General features: G+C 40.3%; 2 annotated features.

Annotated features, from left to right (window-relative positions):
• Positions 1,526 to 2,155: an enhancer, noted in NCBI's record as "H3K27ac-H3K4me1 hESC enhancer chr1:66946956-66947585 (GRCh37/hg19 assembly coordinates)". NCBI's record gives its function as "activates a minimal SCP1, AML or CMV promoter by ChIP-STARR-seq in naive H9 embryonic stem cells {active_cell/tissue: H9 hESC(naive)}" and the evidence as "EXISTENCE:reporter gene assay evidence [ECO:0000049][PMID:30033119]".
• Positions 2,156 to 2,786: an enhancer, noted in NCBI's record as "H3K27ac-H3K4me1 hESC enhancer chr1:66946325-66946955 (GRCh37/hg19 assembly coordinates)". NCBI's record gives its function as "activates a minimal SCP1, AML or CMV promoter by ChIP-STARR-seq in naive and primed H9 embryonic stem cells {active_cell/tissue: H9 hESC(naive and primed)}" and the evidence as "EXISTENCE:reporter gene assay evidence [ECO:0000049][PMID:30033119]".

Genomic DNA, 12,736 nt, shown 5'->3' with positions numbered 1-12,736 from the left:
TGGTGCAGAGCTGAGTTCAATTCCTGGGTATCCTTGTTGACTTTCTGTCTCGTTGATCTGTTTCATATTGACAGTGGGGTGTTAAAGTCTCCCATTATTAATGTGTGGGAGTCTAAGTCTCTTTGTAGGTCACTCAGGACTTGCTTTATGAATCTGGGTGCTCCTGTATTGGGTGCATATATATTTAGGATAGTTAGCTCTTCTTGTTGAATTGATCCCTTTACCATTATGTAATGGCCTTGTCTCTTTTGATCTTTGTTGGTTTAAAGTCTGTTTTATCAGAGACTAGGATTGCAACCCCTGCCTTTCTGTGTTTTCCATTTGCTTGGTAGATCTTCCTCTATCCTTTTATTTTGAGCCTATGTGTGTCTCTGCACATGAGATGGGTTTCCTGAATACAGCACACTGATGGGTCTTGACTCTTTATCTAAATTTGCCAGTCTGTGTCTTTTAATTGGAGCATTTAGTCCATTTACATTTAAAGTTGATATTGTTATGTGTGAATTTGATCCTGTCATTATGATGTTAGTTGGTTATTTTGTTCGTTAGTTGATGTAGTTTCTTCCTAGTCTCGATGGTCTTTACATTTTGGCATGATTTTGCAGTGGCTGGTATCGGTTGTTCCTTTCCATGTTTAGCGCTTCCTTCAGGAGCTCTTTTAGGGCAGGCCTGGTGGTGACAAAATCTCTCAGCATTTGCTTGTCTGTAAAGTATTTTATTTCTCCTTCACTTATGAAGCTTAGTTTGGATGGATATGAAATTCTGGGTTGAAAATTCTTTTCTTTAAGAATGTTGAATATTGGCCCCCACTCTCTTCTGGCTTGTAGGGTTTCTGCCGAGAGATCCGCTGTTAGTCTGATGGGCTTCTCTTTGAGGGTAACCCGACCTTTGTCTCTGGCTGCCCTTAACATTTTTTCCTTCATTCCAACTTTGGTGAATCTGACAATTATGTGTCTTGGAGTTGCTCTTCTCAAGGAGTATCTTTGTGGTGTTCTCTGTATTTCCTGAATCTGAATGTTGGCCTGCCTTGCCAGATTGGGGAAGTTCTCCTGGATGATATCCTGCAGAGTGTTTTCCAACTTGGTTCCATTCTCCCCATCACTTTCAGGTACACCAATCAGACGTAGATTTGGTCTTTTCACATAGTCCCATATTTCTTGGAGGCTTTGCTCATCTCTTTTTATTCTTTTTTCTCTAAACTTCCCTTCTCACTTCATTTCATTCATTTCATCTTCCATTGCTGAAACCCTTTCTTCCAGTTGATCGCATCGGCTCCTGAGGCTTCTGCATTCTTCACGTAGTTCTCGAGCCTTGGTTTTCAGCTCCATCAGCTCCTTTAAGCACTTCTCTGTATTGGTTATTCTAGTTATACATTCGTCTAAATTTTTTTCAAAGTTTTCAACTTCTTTGCCTTTGGTTTGAATGTCCTTCCGTAGCTCGGAGTAATTTGATCGTCTGAAGCCTTCTTCTCTCAGCTCGTCAAAGTCATTCTCCGTCCAGCTTTGTTCCGTTGCTGGTGAGGAACTGTGTTCCTTTGGACGAGGAGAGGCGCTCTGCTTTTTAGAGTTTCCAGTTTTTCTGCTCTGTTTTTTACCCATCTTTGTGGTTTTATGTACTTTTGGTCTTTGATGATGGTGATGTACAGATGGGTTTTTGGTGTGGATGTCCTTTCTGTTTGTTAGTTTTCCTTCTAACAGACAGGACCCTCAGCTGCAGGTCTGTTGGAGTACCCGGCCGTGTGAGGTGTCAGTCTGCCCCTGCTGGGGGGGTGCCTCCCAGTTAGGCTGCTCAGGGGTCAGGGGTCAGGGACCCACTTGAGGAGGCAGTCTGCCCATTCTCAGATCTCCAGCTGCGTGCTGGGAGAACCACTGCTCTCTTCAAAGCTGTCAGACAGGGACATTTAAGTCTGCAGGTTACTGCTGTCTTTTTGTTTGTCTGTGCCCTGCTCCCAGAGGTGGAGCCTACAGAGGCAGGCAGGCCTCCTTTCGCTGTGATGGGCTCCACCCAGTTCGAGCTTGGCGGCTGCTTTGTTTACCTAAGCAAGCCTGGGCAATGGTGGGCGCCCCTCCCCCAGCCTCGCTGCCGCCTTGCAGTTTGATCTCAGACTGCTGTGCTAGCAATCAGGGAGACTCCGTGGGCGTAGGACCCTCCGGGCCAGGTGTGGGATATAATCTCGTGGTGCGCCGTTTTTTAAGCCTGTCGGAAAAGCGCAGTATTCGGGTGGGAGTGACCCGATTTTCCAGGTGCCATCTGTCACCCCTTTCTTTGACTAGGAAAGGGAACTCCCTGACCCCTTGCGCTTCCCGAGTGAGGCAATGCCTCGCCCTGCTTTGGCTCACGCACGGTGCGCGCACCCACTGACCTGCGCCCACTGTCTGGCACTCCCTAGTGAGATGAACCCGGTACCTCAGAGGGAAATGCAGAAATCACCCGTCTTCTGCGTCGCTCACGCTGGGAGCTGTAGACCGAAGCTGTTCCTATTCGGCCATCTTGGCTCCTCCCTCCCGGTAGTTCTTATATGATTGAATGTTTGCATTTATTTCTGTATTTCATTAGAATTTCACAGGCAAACTTGGGGGATGGCAGTGTTAGTATTCTCTCAGGATAATCTGGAAGATATTTTTAAAAACTTTTGGTTAGCCAGACAATTCAATTCACCAAAAGTTTACTACATGTCTTAGGATGTTTTCAGCTGGAAAAGCAAAATGGAACAAAATTTGAAAGTGGCTTAAACAATAAAGGATTTGTTACTTTACATAATATCACATCTGAAAGTGGACGTTTTCATAGTGTGCTAATCCAGTCCTCTTCTAAATGATCCAGGAGTCTCGAACCTTTCTACTCTGGAGGCATTGCCTCTCCTCGTCTTTGCTGAAGCCAGAGGTCATGTGCTCACACAATCATATGGAGAAGCATAAATGAGCTATTTCTCATCACCTAGCTCTTTTTATCAGGATTAAAAATCTTTCCTCAAAAAGTCCAGAAGCATACTTCCCTCTAGCCTAGTTGGCCAGGATTACATAACATGCCTCCGATGGAACCAATCACTGGTGAAGGGAGTGCAATTATTGTGATTCTAGATTAACTGTAATAATTGACATTCACCCCCTGGAGCTGGGATAGAAAGCCGATTTACAGCATCGCTGAGCAGGAAAAAAGAGATGGCTGTTGAACAGGAGGCAACATGCAATGACATAATTAAGTAAGTACTGCATAAGTTTATATTTTAAAGTACAATTGAAGTTCTCATTTATGAATTAACCTTGTTTTCTTGTAACTGGAATTGCGTCTCGATTCAATCTAAGTTGAGATTATAAGTGATCTGATTGTATGCTCTAATCTTCCAAGTTGTTTTGAGAAAGATCTTCAAAGTTGTTTTAAAAGATCATTCTCATAGGAGAGGAAAGGCAGAAATTTAAAGTCAGAACTGAGAGGAGCTGGCAAGAAGGAGAAAGACAGTAAAAGTGAGAGGTGGTTCCAAAGAATTGATGTGACAATAAAGTGAAGGTGATGCACAGCAGAAGAAAAAAATCTTAAAATTGTCTGCTGTATTTCAAATATAAACTTGTGTTTTATTTATTGCCTTCTAATAGCAAGCAATTAGTTTATTGTCATTTTGATTTAATTATCAATGTTAAAACAGTGATAGCAATTTTCCCACTCTTTGATGAGGAAGCTGCTGATTCATCTCTGAAAATCTTCAAAATTTTATTTCGGACATTAGTATTAGCCACTTTTATTTACCTCTTACCGGAAACCACCTATGAAATGCCCTCATTCTATTTCCCCCCTTTAATTTTTTTAGCTGTTTTTTGGTTCTGGTTGAATTTTAATTGCTACCCTATCCCCTGAGTAAATCAGTTTTTAAAAATTGTAGTTGTTCTCATGTTTAAATATTTAACTTTTGTATAGCATTTCTCCATTTATATTTTTAAAAACTGCAAATATTTTCTTATTTGAACCTTGCATTTTCTGTGAAATGTAATTATTATTATTACTATTTTCATTATAAAAATGAAAGAACGCAGGTACTGAGGTTGAAAGAAGTTAAGTAACTTGATTATGGGGACATAGCTAATAGGTGGGACACCAGAACTAGAATAAGTCCTGTGAAGCCCTAGAACCTACTATCCACTATACCATGCTATTCTCATTGAAAGGGAAATCACATAGAAGAGTGTGTTCGGGGGTAAATATTCATTTTAGAGATTTTTTTTTCATTCTTTCAAAGTTTTTTTTTTCTGGGGACCCCACTTTTTTGTTGTTTCATTGTTTGTTTTTAATTATTATTTTTGGTTCACAGGTACATGTGCGGGTTTGGCATATGGGTAAATTGCATGTCACAGTTGTTTGGTGTACACATTATTTCATCACCCAGGTAATAAGTGAAGTACACAAATAGTTTTAGATCCTCTCCCTCCTCCCACCTTCCACCCTCAAGTAAGCCCCAGTGTCTGTCATTTCCTTCTTTGTGTCCATGTGTACTCAATGTTTAGCTTCCACCTATGAAAACATGCATATTTGGTTTTCTGTTTCTGTGTTAGTTCACTTAGGATTATGGCCTCCAGCTTCATCTATCTTGCTGCAAAGGACATGATCTCATTCTTTTTATCACAGCATAGTATTCCATCATGTATGTGTGCCACATTTTTAAAATCCAATCTACCATTGATAGACGTTTAGGTTGATTCCATGACTTTGCTATTGTGAACAGTGCTGTGATGAACATACACGTGCATGTGTCTTTATGATAAAACAATTTATATTTCTTTGAGTATATACCCAATAATAGCATTGCTGGATCAAATGGTAATTCTCCTTTAAGGTCTCTGAGAAATTGCCACACTACTCTCCACTATAGTTGAGTTAATTTACATTTCTACCAGCAGTGTATAGGCATTCCCTTTTCTCCAAAATCCTGCCAGCATCTGCTATTTTTTGCCTTTTTAGTAATAGCCATTCTAACTGGTATTTCACAAAATGTTACAAATGCCAAACATGGGATAGAAAGAGACAAGGGGGTGGAGTGTATGATGAATCAGCCCTAGCTTCTTATTAGAGGAATTACTCATAGTCTAGTTGGGAGACAAGTGATTTTTATTGCTATGTATCGTGTTGGGTGTGCTATGAGAAGTAGGTAAGAACACGCAGCTTCCGGGAGGAAACGATATTCAATCTCTGCCTTAAAAGGCGAGTAGCAGAAGTAATAATAGGCAGTTTGGGAAAGAGAACAACCTACGTCAAAGGCAAAGAGTCATGAGAATGCTGGACACAATTGAGGAAGAGCTGTCTTACGGAGAGAAAGTAATGGAAGCTATAGCTGTGAAGGGCTCTGGATGTAGGACTAAGGAGTTTAGGTTTTACCCTGGATCAAATACGAAGTCTTTGGAAGTTTTAAAACTGCTGCCTTTGAGTAACTGATTGAGCCACTAGGTATCAACAAAAGACACAGCTCAATTGAAATGGACTCACTTTGTTAAAAATAAGTGACTGTGATTCTTCTGCCTTTACTCACACGTTCTTTGGGCTGCTGTCTTCTTGTTAAACAGCTTGTGCACAGAGTTTTCAATCCTGGCTGTTCCACTCAAGTGAATGCATCCGTAGGAGAGTTGAGCTAGATTCCAGAGTAGCCATGCCCCTTCTGAGTTCTGGGTTCTTCTTAGCCTTAGGCCACTTTGAGATTTGAACTTCCTTTTCCCTGACCTTGAGCCTCCCTGACTCTGCTGACCTCTAATCCTGGCAGTGGAATAGGCAAGCTGCAAGGTCAGCAAAGGCCACCTGCCTCACATATGCAAGCCTGGGGGGCCTGTCCTTAGCTCCATTCATGCTGGTCCTTAGAGTGTTTATGTTTAGAAGACAGAGGGAGCCTAAGAAGTGAATTTTTTTTTTTTTTTTTGAGACAGGTTCTTACTGTCTTGCCCAGGCTGGAGTGCAGTGGTGCAATCTTGGCTCACTGCAACCTCCGCCTCCCAGGCTCAAGCGATTCTCCTGCTGCAGCTTCCCAAGTAGCTGGGACTACAGGCATCCACCACCATGCCCAGCTAATTTTTATATTTTTTGGTAGAGACAGGGTTTCGCCATGCCAGGCTGGTCTTGAACTCCTGATCTCAAGTGATCTGCCCGCCTCGGCCTCCCATAGTGCTGGGACTACAGACTTGAACTACGGCACCTGGCTGAGAAGTGATTTTTTTTTAACTGCAAATGTTATCTTATTTGGTTCTCATATTATCTGCAAAAATGTAATTGTTATTATTCTCACTATAAAAATAAAAATTTTAAAAACCCAAGCTCAGAAAAGAGTCATGGTCAAGAGCGAATACATAGCAGGCCAGGGCTCTGTAGGCTTGTTTTGCTGCTGTGCCTGTTGCCAAATGCTTGAAAATCCTGAAGTACAAACATAACAGTCTGAATTAAATTTCATTGATTTTATCTTTCTCTTCCTTTTCTCACTGTGGTGCAGTTGTTAATGGAATTCTAGCCAAAAGGATGTGGGAGGAGAGGAAGGAGCCACAAAGGGAGAATCATGCCTAAGAGTTAACTATGGTACTCTGAAGCAGAACAGAGGTATGTGTTAAATTTTTATACTGTAAGTATAATTCCTTTGAAAATTTTGATGTCTCCTGAGATATTATACAATGACTCATTATTGAAATAATATGAAATAGAATAAAAAATGCACTTTGTGACTTCTAACTGACATGCACTCATCTCTATTTCCCCTAAGTCAACAATTTTATTTAATCTACCTTGAAAAGAAAAAACAAATCTGAAATTCAAAAGGCTACAAATTTGGGTCCAGGTCATACTAGAGCAAGTAAAGGCAGGTATAATTTAATTAATTTTTAATTTATCTCTGGTGGTCACGGTTGTTGGGAGTCAGATGTGGGGGATTTGGGCAGCCATGTGCTGCCATTGCCATGGAGAACAGAACTGCCTAAGCTGATGAGCAGTGAGAAACAGAATTTAGAGAAGAAACAGGAAGTCCTAGCTACATGCAGGTCCTGGTTCATATGGTTTCTGAGTTGAGCCTTCCTTGGATTCCATGAACCAGTTTGCCAGTTATTTACCTATTATCTCTCAGCTTCAATCAGCCCTTCTGTATTCTGCAAACTGCATTTCCCAGGCCCCTCTGCTAGCTGGCTTCCCATGAGCTTATAAGAGGCACTAAAGGACATAAGAATGCCCAAGGGAAAGAGCCTGTCCTTTCTGTTTTCTGTTTTTGGCAGCATCTTTGCACTAGTGGCAGTTGGCTGCAGCTTCCAGTGTCTTGGCCCCTGAGTAGCAGCCTTAGCACAGGCCCCCAGAGGCGCCAACAGCAGCTGGAAGGGAGCTGCCTCTTCCTCAGCAATCTTAGTCCACAGAGCACCTCCCCTGAAATCCATGGCCCTGGGAACATACTCCTTCTATTCTGTTTCCCCAGCGTTCCCCCTCCTAGAGGAGGTAGTTTCTTCCTGCAGTTACCATTTCTGAGTTAGTTCAGGGTCCCTTTTTTGCCCTTTCATGCTTCCAACATCTGTGAAACTATTTCCTCTACTATATATGATTCCCTCAGATAACTAAGTGTGATATTTATTTTTCTGAGTGATACATAAATAACTCCCCCTTGTCTAGGTAGTTTAAACTAAATTGATTTCTTGCAATCAAATTGCTCTTGACCAACACAAGTACACTTTATGGTTACTGAGTAGAACAGCAAAACAAACACAGAGTGTTTTTTACTTGCTTATTGTCTGTCTCCCTACAATAGAATGAATATAAAGTGTTGAACTGCTTTATATACATGATTTTATTTAATACTCTCCTTGCTGTGAGGTCGGTGTATTGATCAAAGAGGTCTGCTTCAGCATTCATTTCTACCCCTTCACAACTCCTGCACACACATGCATGCTCAAACACTGTGTTCCCACAGTCACTTAAGCTCTTTCCCTGCCTCTAACAGTGACCAGGTGGGCAGACTTCATACTTGTTTTTAAGGAACTAGTTTATTCCTAATACCAAAGAAGAAAGGACCTCTGCATGCCAGACTGAAATGACATCTAATTTGTGAGTGATACTTCCAAAGAAGCAGAACCAAAACTGTGAATACTGTCTGCAGCCTGGTAGCTCCGAAAGACAGACCTGGGACAAAGGGCGCTGGGATTTGAATAGACAGACTGAGGTCCTCGCTTTCCAGAAACTTATTTTAGTAACTAAGCCTTGCAAAGAAACTTTTGAGGCTCCAAGGCCAGGGATGGGGCTTTTATCTCATTTAACATATTAGAGGCATGAATCTTTGACCAGATTACCTCCTAGTTACTAGGAGGTAACGAGGGTATAGGAATGATTATAGACGGACCCACTGTAAGATCATCCACTGGGTGCCAGAGCACTCTGCCTTGATTCCCGACTCATACAGATTCCTTACTGTGCTGTATCCTTACTGTTCAATCCAGTAAAGCTTTTGTTAAAGAAAAAATGTGATACTCACCTAGCAGGGACCAGTAATTTGGTGAAGGACCAAGTTAATGGGTTTTATTTCACATTTGTGGAAGCTGAGGCATAGTTAGATTAATTAACTTACCTGGGACCACACAGATAAGAGGTGAAAGATCTCGGCTTTGAAGCTATATAGCTCCAAATCTCATATATTTAACCATTATAATGAATTGTTTTATCTCCTTCCGAATGAGATCAAGAAGTGATTTCTTTCTATCCCTTCCCTGTCTTTCACTGTTGCTCTCAGTTTATAGGGCATTGCCTTGCATTGAGCAGAAATTCAAAGAATGAATATTGAATATCATTCAATATTTTGAATGAGTGTTTTTAAAAAGACACTCTTGATGAACTTAATCTTCTTTCCATTGTCCAAAGAGATCTTGCTCCAGGGCCTTTGAGGAATTTTCAAGCAGTTTCTGGGAAGTCAGATCTCTGCTTTATCCAGAACAGTTCTGCTGTTTTCTCTGTTGTATAATACATAATCTGTTTTACATAAGATTCATCTGAGAAGAGACTTCTGCTACGAAAACAATTTTGAAGATTCTTGTTATAGAGAAGACTGTTCAAGCTACCCAAACTACTTCCTTTATATATATATTTTTAATTTTCTTTTACCAAGATTCCTAAAGAAACAGATATTTTCATACTTTTTTTGACATTTAAAAAGTTGGGCCATGAAATCTTTAGAGGCAGGCCACTGGTATTAAAATATTGATGGTAGAAAAAAGAGATAGAAATTGGTGGTGACAAAGGAGGCACTACATGAGGAATAGAAGTTATGCTCTTACTGCACATCCTTGGAGAAAACACGAGCCATGTTCCTGAACCTCTAAATGTCATTGCTGTCAAGGAAGAAGCTGCTGCAATGGTTGGGACAGAGATTGATGAAATCTTAGAGCAGGGGTCCGCAACCCCCAGGCCGTGGACTGGTACCAGTCCATGGCCTGTTAGGAAATGGGCCACACAGCAGGAGGTGAGCATGGGCGAGAGAACATTACCACCTGAGTTCTACCTCCTGTCAGATCAGTGGCAGCATTAGATTCTCACAGGAGCGCGAACCCTATTGTGAACTGTGCATGCGAAGGATCTAGGTTACGTGCTCCTTATGAAAATCTATCAAATGCCTGATGATGACCTGAGATGAAACACTTTCATCCTGAAACCACCTCCCTCACCAACCAGTTCATGGAATAATTGTCTTCCCTGAAACTGGAACCTGGTGGCAGAAAGGTTGGGGACCACTGCGTTAGAGGACCCTGCCAGGCCTGGGTTCTGCTAGATTCACTTTCTCATTGCATTTTGGCTCTGCTCACCTGTCACCTTCACAGAGGGTCATCCCTGACATTGCTGTCTATAAGAAATGTATGCATCTCACATCAGTCTCCTTGCACTTATTCTGCAATTTTTTAAAAAATTCCATTTATCTCTACCTGAATTATATTATGTTTGTGTTTTTTATTTATTGTCTGTCTCCCTACACTAGAATGTAAGATCCTTGAGGAGAGACACTTTGTCTCTAGTATTCACTTCTGTTTTCTCAGTGCTGTAGACAATCAATTTTGTTTTCTGTTGAATGGATGAGTAAATAATTTCCATATTTTGAGCTTCTCTTGGGCAGAGCTAAAACTCTACAACTCTGTGCATTGCAGAAAGGGTTTGGAACAGGCACTGGTCTATGTTTTTTTTCTTTTTTAGTTCTTTTCTAAGTGAAGCTAAAAATTACTTTTCCTGTCCAGAATATTAAGTTTACACCATGCCTCCATATTCACAACTAATGGGGAGATAGAAATCCTTAGAAATTATAAAGTTAATTTTTACTTATATTTATAAGTTTCTTAAGGAAATCGCCTGATATTCTCAGGCATTGTAAAGCCTCATTTATTTAGCTCTCATAAATTACACCTCTCTACACATAAGAATGGGGTTTTAGCCAAATTCTACCAGATGTACAAAGAAGAGCTGGTACCATTCCTAAAGAAACTACTTCAAAAAATTGAGGAGGAGGGACCCCTCACCAACTGATTATATGAGGCCAATGTCATTCTGATATCAAAACCTGGCAGAGATACAACAAGAAAAGAAAACTTCAGGCCAATATCTTGATGGACAGTGATTCAAAAACCCTCAACAAAATAGTTGCAAACCAAATCCAGCAGCACATCAAAAAGCTAATCCACCATGATCAAGTAGGCTTCATCCCTGAGATGCAAGGTTGTTTCAACATATACAAATCAATAAATGTTATTCATCACACAAATAGAACTAAAGACAAAAATTACATGATTTTCTCAATAGATGCAGAAAAAGCTTTCAATAAAATTTAACACTCTTTCTGTAGTCCCAGCTACTCGGGAGGCTGAGGCAGGAGAATGGCGTGAACCCGGGAGGCGGAGCTTGCAGTGAGCGGAGATCGCGCCACTGCCTCCAGCCTGGGCGACAGAGCGAGACTCCGTCTCAAAAAAAAAACAAAAAACAAACAAACAAAAATTAACAGTCTTTCATTTAAAAACTCTCAACAAGCTAGGTATTGAAGGAACATACCTCAAAATAATAAGAGTCATCTGTGACAAACCCACAGCCAACATTATACTGAATGGGCAAAAGCTAGAAGTATTCCCCTTAAAAGCCAGCACAAGACAAGGATGCCCTTTCTCACTACTTCCACTCAAAAACATCATGATACTGGTACAAAAATAGGAACATACACCAATGGAACAGAATAGAGAGCCCAGAAATAAGGGTACACACCTATGACCACCTGATGTTTGGCAAAGCTGACAAAAACAAGCAATGGGGAAAAGACTCCCTATTTAATAAATGATGCTGGAATAACTGGCAAACCATATGCCAAAGACTGAAGCTGGACCCCTTCCTTACACCATATGCAAAAATCAACTCAAGATGAATTAAAGACTTAAATGTAAAACTCAAAACTATAAAAACCCTGGAAGACAACCTAGGCAATACCATCCTGGACATAGGAACGGGCAAAGCTTTCATGACAGGACACCAAAAGCAATCGCAACAAGAGCAAAAATTGACAAATGGGATCTAATTATACTTAAGAGCTTCTGCACAGCAAAAGACACTATCAACAGACTAAACAAACAACCTACCGAATGGGAGAAAATTTTTGTAAACTATGCATCTGACAATGGCCTAATATCCAGCATCTATAATAAACTTAAACAAATTTATAAGAGAAAAACAACCTTATTAAAAAGTGGGCAAAGGACATGAACAGACACTTTTAAAAGAAGAAATATATGTGGTCAACAAACATATGTAAAAAAGCTCAATATCACTAATCATTAGAGAAATGCAAATAAAAACCATAGTGAGATACCATGTGACACCAGTCAGAATGGCTATTATTAAAAAGTCAAAAAACAACAGATGCTGGTGAGATTGTGGAGAAAATGGAACACGTATACATTGTTGGTGGGAGTGTGAATTAATTCAACCACTGTGGAAAGCAGTATAGTGATTCCTCAAAGAGCTAAAAGCAGAACTATCATTCGACCCAGCAATCCCATTACTGGGTATATAACTAGAGGAATATAAATCATTCTACCATAATGACACAGGCACACAAATGTTCATTGTGGCACTATTCACAATAACAAAGTCATGGAATCAACCTAAATGCCCTTCAGTAACAGACTGGATAAAGAAAAATGTGGTATATATATACCATAAAACACTATGCAGCCATAAGAAAAGAACAAGATCATGTATTTTGTGGGAACATGGATAGAGCTGAAGGTTATTATCCTAAGCAAACTAATGCAGGAAGAGAAAATAAAATATCACTTATAAGTGGCAGCTAATTGATGAGAATGTGTGAAGATAAAGAAGGAAAGAACAGACACTGGGTTCTACTTAAGGGTGGAGGGTGAGAGGAGGGAGAGGAGCAGAAAAGATAGCTACTTGGTATTGGGCTTAAGTCCTGGGTAATGAAATAATCAATACAACAAACCCCCATGATGTGAGTTTACCTATGTAACAAACCTGCACATGTAACCCTAAACCTAAAATAAAAGTTAAAAAATAAGATAAAATAAAATGAAAATATTACCTACCAGGCAGATATACGGTGAATATTTAACAAGATAATAATGTATACTACTTAGTACCTTGAAGGCCAGTTTATATTTGAAATATAGTTAACTTTTCTCCACCATCAGCTGGCATGCCTAAATTGTGTTATTTCAAATGCTGGTTTTCCTGGGTACTAATAGTGCTGTATATAAAATGATTC

This window comes from Homo sapiens, chromosome 1 (genome assembly GCF_000001405.40).
Source record: "Homo sapiens chromosome 1, GRCh38.p14 Primary Assembly".
Taxonomy (NCBI): domain Eukaryota; kingdom Metazoa; phylum Chordata; class Mammalia; order Primates; family Hominidae; genus Homo; species Homo sapiens.
This window is presented reverse-complemented; position numbering and strand designations above follow the sequence as displayed.